The sequence below is a fragment of the Homo sapiens genome, chromosome 9 (assembly GCF_000001405.40).
Source record: "Homo sapiens chromosome 9, GRCh38.p14 Primary Assembly".
NCBI lineage: Eukaryota > Metazoa > Chordata > Mammalia > Primates > Hominidae > Homo > Homo sapiens.
Genome location: NC_000009.12, coordinates 128,853,618 through 128,867,786, shown reverse-complemented (window position 1 = coordinate 128,867,786; position 14,169 = coordinate 128,853,618). Strand labels below are relative to the sequence as shown.

At 46.4% G+C, this 14,169-nt stretch overlaps 2 protein-coding genes across 21 annotated transcripts in view, besides 2 other annotated features; both read left to right on the top strand.

Moving 5' to 3' along the window:
- The window catches only part of KYAT1-SPOUT1 (KYAT1-SPOUT1 readthrough), a 62,300-nt gene that overhangs the window by 14,164 nt on the left and 33,967 nt on the right, over window positions 1-14,169 (top strand). The gene's annotated exons all lie outside the window — the stretch shown is intronic.
- The window catches only part of KYAT1 (kynurenine aminotransferase 1), a 49,582-nt gene that overhangs the window by 14,737 nt on the left and 20,676 nt on the right, over window positions 1-14,169 (top strand). Inside the window, exon 1 of one of the 18 annotated variants that reach the window (NR_148225.1) lies at window positions 7,255-7,840. The exons of the other annotated variants lie outside the window; for them this stretch is intronic. The gene's annotated coding sequence lies outside the window, so the exon portion shown is untranslated. Of the gene's footprint in view, window positions 1-7,254; window positions 7,841-14,169 lie in introns of those variants that run through there. 18 annotated transcript variants of the gene reach the window in all.
- Window positions 3,903-4,197: an enhancer, noted in NCBI's record as "tiled region #7409; K562 Activating DNase unmatched - State 5:Enh". NCBI's record gives its function as "activates a minimal TATA promoter and a strong SV40 promoter by Sharpr-MPRA in K562 cells {active_cell/tissue: K562}" and the evidence as "EXISTENCE:reporter gene assay evidence [ECO:0000049][PMID:27701403]".
- Window positions 6,023-6,317: a silencer, noted in NCBI's record as "tiled region #9337; K562 Repressive non-DNase unmatched - State 23:Low". NCBI's record gives its function as "represses a minimal TATA promoter and a strong SV40 promoter by Sharpr-MPRA in K562 cells {active_cell/tissue: K562}" and the evidence as "EXISTENCE:reporter gene assay evidence [ECO:0000049][PMID:27701403]".

The window sequence follows — 14,169 nt, the reverse complement described above, 5'->3', positions numbered from 1 at the left end:
AAACAAACAAAAAAACCTTTGCAATAAGTTTTGAAATCAACCTGCATTTTTCACATAACCTGAATATCTTTCCACGTCAGACTGCTAAAAGCAATCTTATTCCTTTTAGTGGTTGCACAATGGTTCATTCTATGGTTAAACCACGCAGTGATACAGTGATATTGTGATACAGCGATACTGAACTAGCCCCAGGTTGATGGATATCAGATTGCCTCCAGTTTTTTTCTCTCATGCTGAGTGCTGCGTTAATCATCCAAGTGTATATTTTTGTATATACGTGTGAATATTCCTGTAAGATCAGCTTTTAGGGCTGGGTGCACTGGCTCACACCTGTAATCCCAGCACTTTGAGAGGTCAAGGTAGGAGAACTGCTTGAGCCCAGCAGTACAAGACCAGCCTGGGCAATGTAGTCAGACCTTGTCTCTACTAAAAATAAAAAGTTAGCCCAGCATGGTGGCGTGCACATGTGGTCCCAGCTACTTGGGAAGCTGAGGTGGGAGGATGGCTTGAGCCCCAGAGGTGTAAGCTGCAATGAGCCATAATTGTGCCACTGCACTCCAGACTGAGTGACAGAGCAAGACCCTGTCTCAAAACAAACAAACAAAAAACTTTTAGGAGAGGAAGTGTTGAGTCAAAGAGTGGTATGTGTTATTATTAAATTGCCCTCCAAAACTTACACCAGTGAACACTCTTAACCTAGTGCTTGCTTTTCAAATCACAAATTCTCACCTTTTAGTACATTGTAGGATCAGTTTGGTGGGTCTCAAGTTTGTCTTGGCCCATCTGAGAGGCAAAAAATAGTACTTCGCTTTCATTTACGTATCACTAATTATGACTAATTTTCAGCATCCTTTCAAGGTTATTGACTTTTTTTTTTTTTTGAGACAGAGTCTCGCTCTGTCACCCAGACTGGAGTGCAGTGGCACGATCTCAGTTCACCACAACCTCCGCCTCCTGGGCTCAAGCGATTCTCCTGCCTCAGCCTCCCAAGCAGCTGGGATTACAGGCGCACATCACGGCTAATATTTTTTATATTTTTAGTAGAGACAGGGTTTCACCATGTTGGCCAGGCTGGTTTTGAACACCTGGCCTCAAGTGATCTGCCCGCCTTAGCCTCCTAAAGTGCTGGGATTACAGGCATGAGCCACTGCGCCCGGCGACTATTTTCTTTTCTTTTCTTTTCTTTTTGAGACAGAGTCTCGCTCTGTTGCCCAGGCTGGAGTGCAATGGCACGATCTCAGCTCACTGCAACCTCCACTTCCCAGGTTCAAGTGATTATCTCACCTCAGCTTCCCGAGTAGCTGGGATTACAGGTGCCTGCCACCACACCCGGCTAATTTTTGTATTTTAGTAGAGACAGGGTTTCACCATGTTGGCCAGGCTGGTCTCAAACTCCTGACCTCAGGTGATCCGCCTGCCTCAGCCTCCCAAAGTGCTGGGATTACAGGCGTGAGCCACCACACCCAGCGACTATTTGCTTTTGTGAATTTCCCATTTATATCTTTTTCACACTTTTTCTTATTGAGATGCTGGTCTTTTGTTGTCGATTTATACAAATATTTGCATATTAAGGCTCATATTATATTAAAATGGCCCAGTTACTTGTTTGTCTCCTTGATTAGATTGTGCGCTCCTTGGAGGAAAGGAAGGTATCCTATCACCCTTGTATACATGGTGGCTAGCTTAGGGAATGAATAGCACATAATAGGAATTCACTGAGGAGATGTACACTTACCATATGGCAGGCTCTGTGCAAGATGTTGAGAATAAAAAGATGAACAGAAGAGAATCTTTGTTCTAACAAAGCTTACAGTCTGGTGCAAGCGATAGACATTCATTCTCATTCTGCAGGTTTATTGAGCAGCTGCTCTGTGCCAGGTGCATAACGCCCATTGGAAGAGCCAGCCTATTAGGATGAGAAAAATGTCAGGACTGGGACTTCGCTAACCTGGTCCTGGGAAATCTGGGTGGGTCAGTTCCCCATCCCTGGTTATCAGTATCCCCATCAATAAAATGTGAGCCACTGGACCAAATTCTCTCATTTCCCATTGAGCATCCATGCATCTGTGCTGCTTTGGCTTTTGGAAAGTAGGAGTCAGAGTCCTGAGTTCAAATATTGGCTCTGTGCTGGGTGTGGTGGCTCACGCCTGTAATCACAGCACTTTGGGAAGCCGAGGTGGGTGGATCACCTGACGTCAGGAGTTTGAGACCAGCCTGGACAACGTAGTGAAACCCCACCTCTACTAAAAATACAAAATTAGCCTGGTGTGGTGGTGCATGCCTGTAATCCCAGCTACTTGGGAGGCTGAGGCACGAGAATCGCTTGAACCCGGGAGGCAGAGGTTGCAGTGAGCCAAGATCGCACCATTGCACTCCAGCCTGGGCAACAAGAGCGAAACTCTGTCTCAAAAAAAAAAAAAAAAAAAATATATATATATATATATATATATATATATATATATATATATATATATATATGTAGGCTCTGCTACTTGTTAGCTGTGGCCTTGGGTGTGTGACTTAGCCTTTTTTTTTTTTTTTGGTGTGGGAGGGATGTGGGGAGGGACATGGTCTTGCTTTGTCACTCAGGCTGCAGTGCAGTAGTGCAATTATGGCTCACTTCAGCCCCAACCTCCAGGCTCAAGTGATCCTCCCACCTCAGCCTCCCGAGTAGCTGGGACTACAGACGTGCACCACCACTCCCAGATAATTTATTATTTTTTGTAGAGATTGAGTCTCACTACGTTGCCCAGGCTGGTCTCGAACTCCTGGGCTCAAGGGATCCTCCTGCCTTGGCCTCTCTTGCAGGCATAAGCCACTGTACCTGACCACTTAGCCTCTTGAAGGAATCTTTCTTATAGGATTAAAAGTGATGGGAAGCCAGGAGCAGTGACTCACACCTCTAATCCCAGCACTTTGGGAGGCCTAGGCAGGCGGATCACTTGAGGTCAGGAGTTCTAGACCAGCCTGGTCAACATGGTGAAACCCTGTCTCTACTAAAAATACAAAGATTAGCTGGACATGGTGGTGCACAACTGTAGTCCCAGCTACTCGGGAGGCTGAGGCACAAGAATCACTTGAACATGGGAGGCGGAGGTTGCAGAGAGCTGAGATCGCGCTGCTGCACTTCAGCCTGGGCGACAGAGCACGACTTTGTCCCCCAAAAAATAAGTAAATAAATAATAAAAGTGATGGGACCTGATTTCAAGTAGTCAAAATCGCAGAGACAGCAAATGGGCTGGGCTATGGGCCAGAGGGTAAAGGGATGTAATTGTTTAATGGGTACAGAGTTGTCAGTTTTACAAGATGAAAACAGTTCCCAAAACTGTATACCTGTACATAGTTAAGATGGTAAAGTTTATGATATGTGTATTTTACCAAAATTTTTTAAATGAAAAACTTTTTTTTTTTTTTTTTTTTTGAGACAGAGTCTCGCTCTGTCGCCCAGGCTGGAGTGCAATGGCGCAATCTCGGCTCACTACAATCTTCGCCTCCCGGGTTCACAACATTCTCCTGCCTCAGCCTTCCAAGCAGCTGGGACTATAGGCACCCGCCACCATGCCTGGCTAATTTTTTTTTCGTATTTTTAGTAGAGACGGGGTTTCACTGTGTTAGCCAGGACAGTCTCGATCTCCTGACATTGTGATCCACCTGCCTCGGCCTCCCAAAGTGCTGGGATTACAGGTGTGAGCCACCGCGCCCGGCCTGAAAAACATTTTTAAGTGGTGGGACGTGTAGGGCTCCACGGGGCACCTAGCACAGGAAAGCGTGTGGTAAATAAAAGGTGACTGCCAGGGCTGTTGAGGAGCTGACTAGGGAAGGCCTGCTTCCTAGAAAAGGGGTGAGGCGCAGGGCATTGGAGGGAGGTGTGCCTGGGAGGTCAGGAGTCCTGCCTTATGCGGGAACCTGGAGCAGCACCCTCCCTGCTTTGGGCCTCCTCTGTGAAGTGAGGCGTAGTCCCCTCCTGGGGCCAGCAGGTTGCTCTGTGACCTGGGCCAGCAACCTCAAAGCCACGAGGGGCCTGGCTCCTTGCGCCCCCTGCTGGCCGACTCGGGAATAACACACCCACAAGCCCCCAAGTTGCTCCCAACCAACCTGGCCAAGTTGCTGGGTTAAGGCAGCCTACGTGCCCCCTGTACCCTTCTGCTCTTGGCTGAGAACCCCTTATGGCTTCTCCCTCCCTCCCTCCCTCCTAAGTTCCTGGAACCTACCTTCACCACACCCATAAGCTCACAGACACAGACACAGAGATGTGTGCACATGCTCAGGTGCAAGCTCTTGTATTTGGATCCTTTTGTTGTTTTGGTTTTTTTTTTTGTAGAGAAAGGGTGTTGTTATGTTGCCCAGGCTAGTCTTGAACTTCTGAGCTCAAGCGATCTGCCCACCTCAGCCTCCCAAAATGCTGGGATTACAGGTGTGAGCCACCATGCCCAGCCTCCATGAATTATTATTATTTATTTCATGCATAGAAAATTGATGTTCAGAGAGGTAAAATGGCTTGCCTCATGTCACACTGCCAAGGTCATCAAAGCCTGTGTTCTAATCCTTCCCCCGTCTCTCAGCACTGCCCTCCTCCTTGTGTGTCTACTTGGGGCCTGATCCTGGGTGTGGTAATAGAACAGACCTACCCTGTGGAGGGTGCAACATAACATTCACTTCTGGCCGGGCATGGTGGCTCATGCCTGTAATCTCAGCACTTTGGGAGGCCGAGGCGGGCGGATCATGAGGTCAGGAGTTCAAGACCATCCTGGCCAACATGGTGAAACCCCATCTCTACTAAAGACACACAAAAAAATTAGCCGGGCATGGTAGCGCGCGTCTGTAATCCCAGCCACTCGGGAGGCTGAGGCATGAGAATCACTTGAACCTGGGAGGCGGAGGTTGCAGGGAGCCGAGATCATGCCATTGCACTCCATCCTGGGTGATAAAAAGATAGGGCGAGACTCTGTGTCAAAAAACAAACAAACCAACATTGACTCCTATGCCCAGTCTTACCCGGCCACACATAGGCCCGATGCACTGCCAGTCCCCTGCAATGGAAGCCGATCCTGGTTTCCAGCCCCACCCCCAAGGCTGCAAGATTGTTTAAGCATATCCGTGTGCAGCACAGGTGCCACCCAGCTTCTTGACCCCCATGGAGCCAGTGATCTGGACACACAGAAGGCACCGCCTTTCCTGAGAACTGGCAGTGCCCAGAGAAGGCAAGGGGCCAAGGCTGGGGCAGGGCAGAGAAGAGGGCCACAGCTGGGATCTGTTTCTCCTGAGTTTCTGCCCTGTGCTGGCACCAGGTGTACAATCTGCTATAAGGCCTGCAGGAGCTCAATGTAAGTGTTGTTATTTTAGTATGTTAGGAATTTCCTCACCTGTTAATGAGGGTGAGGATAGCACTTGCTTTACAGAGTTGTTGAAAGGATCCAGTGACAAAAGTATTGGGACAGAGTGAGTCCTAGTAAATTAAAGCTGGTTGTATTATTAATATTATTCTTGGCCAAGTACAGTGGCTCACATTTGTAATCCCAGCACTGGGACGCTGCGGCAGGAGGATGCCTTGAGCCCAGGAGTTTGAGACAAGCCTGGGCAACACAGTGAGACCACATCTCTACAAAAAATACAAAAATTAGCTCAATTCACTTGAGATGATGAAGACATGACTTAGAATGTTGTCACTTCAGGAAAAAAAGACTGATTTGATGGACACAGAGTCCGATGTGGGGGAGAGTGTCAGAGAGAGAATTGACCTACCAGGCAACTGTGGGTTTTTAACTCAGTGGTCAGAAAGCAGTAGAGTGGGTCCCGGTAGGGTGAAATCCAGCTCCTCCTGTAGTCCTAGAAGAAGTAGCAAGATGTTGGGTCTAGGACAGGAAATGGCTAACCTAAAGAGACCCTTTGGCCCAGGATGGTTCCCATCCCAAGACACCCCTCAGTCCTGGGCCAGCAGATAGTTGGTCTTCATAGAACAGGCAGAGGGCACAGAGTGCCTCCCATGACCAGCCCTGGGCTTGGGCCTGCCCTTGGGCCGCTCATCCGTTTAGCTGAGTTACCTGAGCTAAAGCACCAGACTCCCTCCCTTGAGGTGACACCAAGGAATGTCCCTCCTGGGATGGCAGTAACACTACCCTTTGTTGCTCAAGGCACAGGTACTTAGTTTCAGGGGTCAGAGTACATACTTCAGGCCTCTCCTGGGAACCGCTCTCAAATCTAAGGAACGAGAGGGTGAGCTCTGGCATCGCCTTGTGTGTTAGCCCATTCTCCCACTGCTATAAAGAACTGCGCAAGACTGGGTCATTTATAAAGGAAAGAGATTTAATTGACTCACAGTTCCTCATGGCTGGGGAGGCCTCAGGAAACTTAAAATCATGGCAGAAGGGGAAGCAAACACGTTCTTCACATGGCGGCAGGAGAGAGAACTGCTGAGCAAAGGGGGAAAAGCTCTTTATAAAACCATCAGCTCTCATGAGAACTCACTCATTATCGCCAGCACAGCAGCATGGGGGTAACTGCCCCCATGATTCAATTACCTCCCACTGGGTCCCTCCCAGGACACGTGGGAATTATGAGAACTGCAATTCAAGATGAGATTTGGGTGGGGACACAGCTCAACCCCATCACCTTGGATTTGATTCCTAAGGCTGTTGTAACAAACTAGCCACACTTCATTGTATTGCGTTTGGCAGATATCACGGTCTTTGCAAATTGAAGCTTTGTGAGAACCTTGCACCAAGCAAGTCTATTGTTCCCATTGTTCCAACAGAATGTGTTCCCTTAGGGTCTGTGTGTAATTCCCACAATAGTTCAAACTTTATCATTATTATTATGTCTGACACGGTGATCTGTGATCAGTGATCTTTGATATTACTATTGTGCTTGTTTTGGGGAACCACAAACCATGCCCATATAAGATGGTAAACTTAATAAATGCGTGTGGGCCGGAGGCAGTGGCTCACAACTGTAATCCCAGCACTTTGGGAGGCCGAGGTGGGCAGATCACCTAAGGTCAGGAGTTCGAGACCAGTCTGACCAACATAGTGAAACCCCATCTCTACTAAAAATACAAAAATTAGCCAGGCATGGTGGAATGCGACTGTAATCCCAGTTACTTAGGCTGAGGCAGGAGAATCGCTTGAACCCAGGAGGCGGAGCTTGCAGTGAGCCGAGATTGCGCAACTGCACTCCACCCTGGGCGACAAAGCAAGACTCCGTTTCAAAAAAAAAAAAAAAAGGCTGAACAAACTGAAAAACCAGCGGCTCTTTTTCAGTTCATCAGAAAATTAGGTCACAGGGTAACCTGCTGCCCCCAAACTGGAGAGGCAGAAAGGTAGATACAGAGAATCATGATTTGCCAGAGCAGAAACCTTCCCTGGAATCAGCACCTGGGTGGGAAAACCTGAACTGCAACTGACGAATGTCTGGCAGCGTGGATGTGTGCTGCTGGTTAATGTTAGGTGGCAGCTGGACTGGAGTAAGGAATACCTAGAGAATGGTGAAACATGACTTCTGGGTGTGTCTGTGAGGGTGTTTCCAGAGGAGATTGGCGTGGGAGTCAGTGGACTGAGTGGGGAAGATCCGCTCTCAATGTGGGTGGCAGTATGCAATTGGTTCACGGCTTGAATAAAAACAAAAGAGGAGAAAATTTTCCTCTTTCTGTCTCTGTCTCTCCTGGAGCTGGAAGATTCTCCTTCTCCTGCCCTTTGGATATCAAAACTCTAGGCTCTTCAGCCTTGGACTGAGAATTATCCCAGTGGCGTCCCTGGTTCTGAGGCTTGCAGACTTGGACTGAGCCACGCTACTGGCACCTCTTGCAAATAGTCTCTCAGGGGACTTCTCAGCCTCCATTAATTGCGTGAGTCAATTTCCCTATAAATCCCCTCTCATGCACTTTGGGAGGCCGAGGCGGGTGGGTCACGAGGTCAGGAGATCGAGATCATCCTGGCTAACACGGTGAAACCCTGTCTCTACTAAAAATACAAAAAATTAGCTGGGTGTGATGGCGGGCACCTGTAGTCCCAGCTACTTAGGAGGCTGAGGCAGGAGAATGGTGTGAACCTGGGAGGCAGAGCTTGCAGTGAGCCGAGATCGCGCCACTGCGCTCCAGCCTGGGCAACAGAGCGAGATTCTGTCTCAAAAAAAAAAAAAAATGGCTGGGCAAGGTGGCTCACCAGCACGATCTCGGCTCACTGCAACCTCCACCTCCTGGGTTCAAGCAATTCTCCTGTCTCAGCCTCCTGAGTAGCTGGGAGATTACAGGCATGCGCCACCACACCCAGCTAATTTTTGTATTTTTAGTAGAGATGGGGTTTCACCATGTTGACCAGGCTGGTCTCAAACTCCTGACCTCAGGTGATCCACCCACCTCAGCCTCCCAAAGTGCTGGGATTACAGGCAGGAGCCACTGCACCCAGCTGAGAGTAACTTTTTTTTTTGTTGTTGAGACGGAGTCTCCCTCTGTTGCCCAGGCTGGAGTGCAGTGGCGCGATCTCAGCTCACTGCAGGTTCAGCCTCCTGGGTTCACGACATTCTCCTGCCTCAGCCTCCCGAGTAGCTGGGACTACAGGTGCCCACCACCACACCTGGCTAATTTCTGTATTTTTAGTAGAGACAGGGTTTCGCCGTGTTAGCCAGGATGGTCTCGATCTCCTGACCTCGTGATCCGCCTGCCTTGGCCTCCCAAAATGCTGGGATTACAGGCGTGAGTCACCGTGCCTGGCCAAGGGTAACTATTTTTAAGTATGCCAGAGCATTCCTCCAAAATACTCTTTTTCTTTCTTTTCTTTTCTTTGCTTTTTTTTTTTTTTTGAGATGGAGTCTTGTTCTGTCACCCAGGCTGGAGTGCAACGCACAATCTCAGCTCACTTTAGCCTCCAAGCAATTCCCTTGCCTCAGCCTCCCGAGTAGCTGGGATTACAGGTATGAGCCACCATGTCCAGCTAATTTTTGTGTTGTTAGTACAGACAGGATTTCACCGTGTTGGCCAGTCTGGTCTCAAACTCCTGACCTCAAGTGATCTGCCCACCTCAGCCTCCCGAAGTGCTGGAATTATAAGCGTGAGCCACCGGGCCTGGCCTAAAACATTCTTTTTCTTTTTTTGTTTTTTGAGATGGAATTTCACTTTTGTTGCCCAGGCTGGAGTGCAATGGTGCAGTGGCTCACTGCAACCTCCGACTCTCGGATTCAAGTGATTCTCCAGTCTCAGCCTTCCAAGTAGCTGGGATTACAGGTGCATGCCATCACGCCTGGCTAATTTTTGTAGTTTTAGTAGAGATGGGGTTTCATCATATTGGTCAGGCTGGTCTCAGACTCCTGACCTTAGGTGATCTGCCCGCCTTGGCCTCCCAAAGTGCTGTGATTACAGGTATGAGCCACCATGCCCGGGCTTTTTTTTTTTTTTTTTTTTATACATGGTCTCACTCTGTTGCCCAGGCTGGAGTGCAGTGGAGCAATTTTGGCTCATTGCAACCTCTGCCTCCTGAGCTCAAGCGATTCTCGTACCTCAGCCTCCTAAGTAGCTGGGACTACAGGTGCATGTGACTTCGCCCAGCTAATTTTTGTATTTTTGGTAGAGATGGGGTTTTGTCGTGTTGGCCAGGCTGGTCTCAAACTCCTGACCTCAGGTGACCCACCCACCTCAGCCTCCCAAAGTGCTGGGATTACAGACGTGAGCCACCGTGCCCAGCCTTGGCTGTTTGTGTATCTTTTTTGGAAACATTCAGATTTATGATTTGCAGATATTTCCTTCCATTCCATGGGCTGTCTTTTCATTTTCTTAATGGGTATCCTTGAAGCACAAAAGTTCTTAATTTTGATGAGGTCCAGTTTATTTTTTCTTTTGTTGTGTATGCTTTGGATGTTATGTCTAGAACCCCAAGGTCACAGAGATTTATTCCTATGTTTTCTTCTAGTTTTCTTGTTTTAGTTCATACATTTAGTTTTGTTTTTTGTTTGTTTGTTTGTTTTGAGACGGAGTCTCGCTGTGTCGCCCAGGCTGGAGTGCAGTGGCGTGATCTCTGCTCACTGCAAGCTCCGCCTCCCGGGTTCACGCCATTCTCCTGCCTCAGCCTCCAGAGCAGCTGGGACTGCAGGTGCCCACCACCACGCCCAGCTAATTTTTTGTATTTTTAGTAGAGACGGGGTTTCACTGTGTTAGCCAGGATGGTCTTGATCTCCTGACCTTATGATCCGCCTGCCCTGGCCTCCCAAAGTGCTGGGATTACAGGCGTGAGACACCGTCCCCAGCCCATACATTTAGTTATGTGATTCACTTTGAATTAATTTTTGTGTATGGGGCAGGGCACATGGCTCACGCATGTAATTTCAGCACTTTGGGAAGCTGAGTGAAGCGGTGGCCTGTCCCTCCACACCTGTGGGTATCTCATCAGGTGGGACGAGAGACTGAGAAAAGAAGTAAGACACAGAGATGAAGTATAGAGACAACAGTGGGCCCAGGAGACTGGCAAGCAGCATATCAAGGACCTGCACCAGCATCGGTTTCTGAGTTTCCTCACTTTTTATTGATTATTATTTTTATTATCTCAGCAAGAGGAATGCAGTAGGAGAGCAGGGTGATAATAAGGAGAAGGTCAGCAAAAAAACATGTGAGCAAAAGAATCTATGTCATAATTAAGTTCAAGGGGAGGTACTATGCCTGCATGTGCACGTAGGCCGGATTTATGTTTCTCCCCGCCCAAACATCTCAGTGGAGTAAAGAATAACAAGGCAGCATTGCTGCCAACATGTCTCGCCTCCCGCCATAGGGCGGTTTTTCTCCTATCTCAGAATTGAACAAATGTATAATCAGGTTTTATACCGAGACATTCAGTTCCCAGGGGCAGGCAGGAGACAGTGGCCTTCCTCTATTTCAACTTCAAGAGGCTTTCCTCTTTTACTAATCTACCTCAGCACAGACCCTTTACGGGTGTTGGGCTGGGGGACAGTCAGGTCTTTCTCATCCCACAAGGCCATATTTCAGATTATCACATGGGGAGAAACCTTGGACAATACGTGGCTTTCCAAGGCAGAGGTCCGTGCGGCTTTCCGCAGTGCGTTGTGCCCCTGGTTTATTGAGATTAGAGAATGGCGATGACTTTTACCAAGCATACTGCTTGTAAACATTTTGTTAACAAGGCATATCCTGCACAGCCCTAGATCCCTTAAACCTTGATTCCAGACAACACATGTTTTTGTGAGCTCAAAGTTGGGGCAAAGTGGCTGGGGCAAAGTTACAAATTAACAACATCTCAGCAAAGCAATTGTTCAAGGTACAGGTCAAAATGGAATTTCTTATGTCTTCCCTTTCTACATAGACACAGTAACAGTCTGATCTCTCTTTCTTTGCCGTACATATCCCCCTTTTCTTTTTGACAAAACCGCCATAGTCATTATGGCCTGTTTTCGCTGGTTGCTGTCTCTCTGGAGCTGCTGGATACACCTGTAGACCAGCAACAGAGAACAGACATACAAGGATTAATACAAAATTTGCAATAGTGGAACTTCCAGTGGTTTTAACCCAAGTGATGGGGTTAAGATTTGTGAGGCCATCAGCAGCTTTCACCATTGCCTCAGTTTCTGGCACCAGATTGAACTGGGCTTTTGATGCCTCAAAAATTTGTTATTTTAATTTTAAAATATCTAAAGTAAGGTTATCTTCTCTTCCTTGTAGATGGCGTCTAACCATGTCCCAGTGATGTTCAGATTCATTATAGGCTCGAGGTGTAATACAAAAATCTGACATATTCCAGTCACACTGTAACTGAAAAAGATATTCTAAGCTCATGAGCCTATCTCTCATTCAAATGACAGTTTGTCTACGATCATTAATTTGGTTTGCCAATTTTTGGTCTATTTGAGTCTGAGAATTCCACAATTTTGAGGAGTTCTTTTGCCAATTATTTATATATTTTGTAGTTTGAACAGAGGAGTGTAAAGCAATTCCAGCAGCCGCAGCAGTAGCTGTGACTGCAATAAGACCCATAATCACTGCAATTAAAGTAAAAAATGAATCTTTTGGATCTAGTTAGAACTCCTTTTAATACTTCTGTTAAAATATGGATGGATGGGGAAGCCTCCCACGGTCGGTCCATGGACACAGGGATCCACACACCCTCTCTTGCCCTCACTGGCAGAATATGGTGCTGCCAATCAAAAGTTGAATCAATGCAAGTAAACAATCTACAATTTTCACAGGTTATAGTTTGGGAATCTGGTTTAATAACTATGTTTCCTACAACTAGCATATAAGAGGGTTTTACACAACTTTGCAAAGGAATTGTCGGATTGGAATTTAGGTTAATAGTATAATGTGGCTTATGATTTCTTGTTCCGATAACTTGATTTCCAGACCAAATTCTAATGTGGTGCGAGGCCACAGTAAGCTTTCATAATGCTGGATGTTCAGGAGCAGTAACAGGACTAACTAACTTTGGTTGAGGTGATGAAATCCCCTTTTCACCCCATTTCCATGGATAGGGTGATTCTAGCCTTCTATAAACCTGGTCTAGCCTTTCAGTTAAATCACTATCATAGGCCGGATTAGTGGGCCAGACAGATGGGGTCTGTGAACATGAGTGAGTCTGGCCCATACAACCATAATATAATTGGTTTTGAGGGGCCCAGTCTATAATAGTTCCAAATTTATTGTTTTGTAATACCACCACAGTATCAGCCACATATTTTTCCCAAACTAAGACTTCTGGGTCTTTTGATTCTTTGGGAATTTCCTTGAGGCAAGGTCCCCTTAGGCCTAAATTTTAATGATCTTTGATAAGAAGAGTCCTGTAAATTATTCATTTGTGACCCAAGTGACATTCCACTTACCATATGATAAGTAAATTTATTGGTGGCACTGACAGTAGATACTTCTACCAACCAATTTTGGGTTGTAGGCATTAAGCATCCTGGTGCTTTCCCCAGGCAAATAGGAGGATAATGATACCCAGTGGAAATGTTTATCATCATTCCTTCTTCTTCAGGTTGGGCAGGGCCGCGGTCATCTGTGGGTCCTGGTACCCATGCACTAATATTAACACATACTTCAATAGAATATTATCCATCCAAGTGACTGCCTGAATTAAGGGCGGGAAAGGCACATAGGCCCAGTAAGTATAATTAGCTGCAGCTGCTCCTGCAGACATAGTGAGACTTACCACCATTGATACAATCATTAAAGCTGCAAGCAGCATATTCTCTGGAGTTTGTGTTACCCTTGTGTACTTTAGGCTTTTTTCAGCTAACTGTGTCAGCTTCTTTAGCTGGGCCCAGGTCGGCGGCTTCGCTTTTTTGGTGGATGGCAACTTTTTCTGTAAGTTGTAGGTACCCAAACTGGAAGCTGATTTTCTCCTGGTGAAACACGAGCAAAACCTCTCCCCCACGTTATCACCTTCTCTATTTTTTATGTTTTATTTTTGTTGTCTTTTTACCAAATCAGTTTTTCCTCATGTGGGCTGTTCTTTTTACCAGTAAAATGTTGTTCTGCAGAAGTAGCGGTCTGATTTCTATAAATGTTAAAAAAATTTAAAGTATAGAGTGCTAGATTAAGTTGCATCTGGGGAGTGTTATATTCCTTACTGTCCTTTTCCTTTTTTTGTTTAACCAATTGAGCTTTGAGTGTTCTATTACTTCTTTCAATTATGGCCTGTCCTTGGGAATTATAAGGGATTTCTGTTGTGTGTGTAATTTTCCACTGATTTAAGAATTTTTGAAATGCTTTACTACAGTATCCTGGCCCATTATCTGTTTTAATTTTTTATGGAACTCCCATGACAGCAAAACAAGATAATAAATGTCTTTTAACATGGGAAGTATTTTCTCCTGTCTGGCAGGTTGCCCATATGAAATGTGAATAAGTATCAACTGTCACATGGACAAATGACAATTTTCCAAATGAAGGTACATGTGTGACATCCATTTGCCATAATGCATTGGGACATAAACCTCTGGGATTAACTCCTGCCTCCTGAGTGGGCACATGTAGGACTTGACACTGAGTACAATGTTGTACAACATTTTTTGCCTGTTTTCATATGATATCAAATTTATTTTTTAGTCCTGATGCATTTACATGAGTCAAGGCACGAAGTTTTTATGCTTTTATGAATGCAGATGATACTAGCAAGTCAGCTTGTTCATTTGCCTTAGTTAAAGGCCCTGGTAAATTAGTATGTGTTCGAATATGAGTAA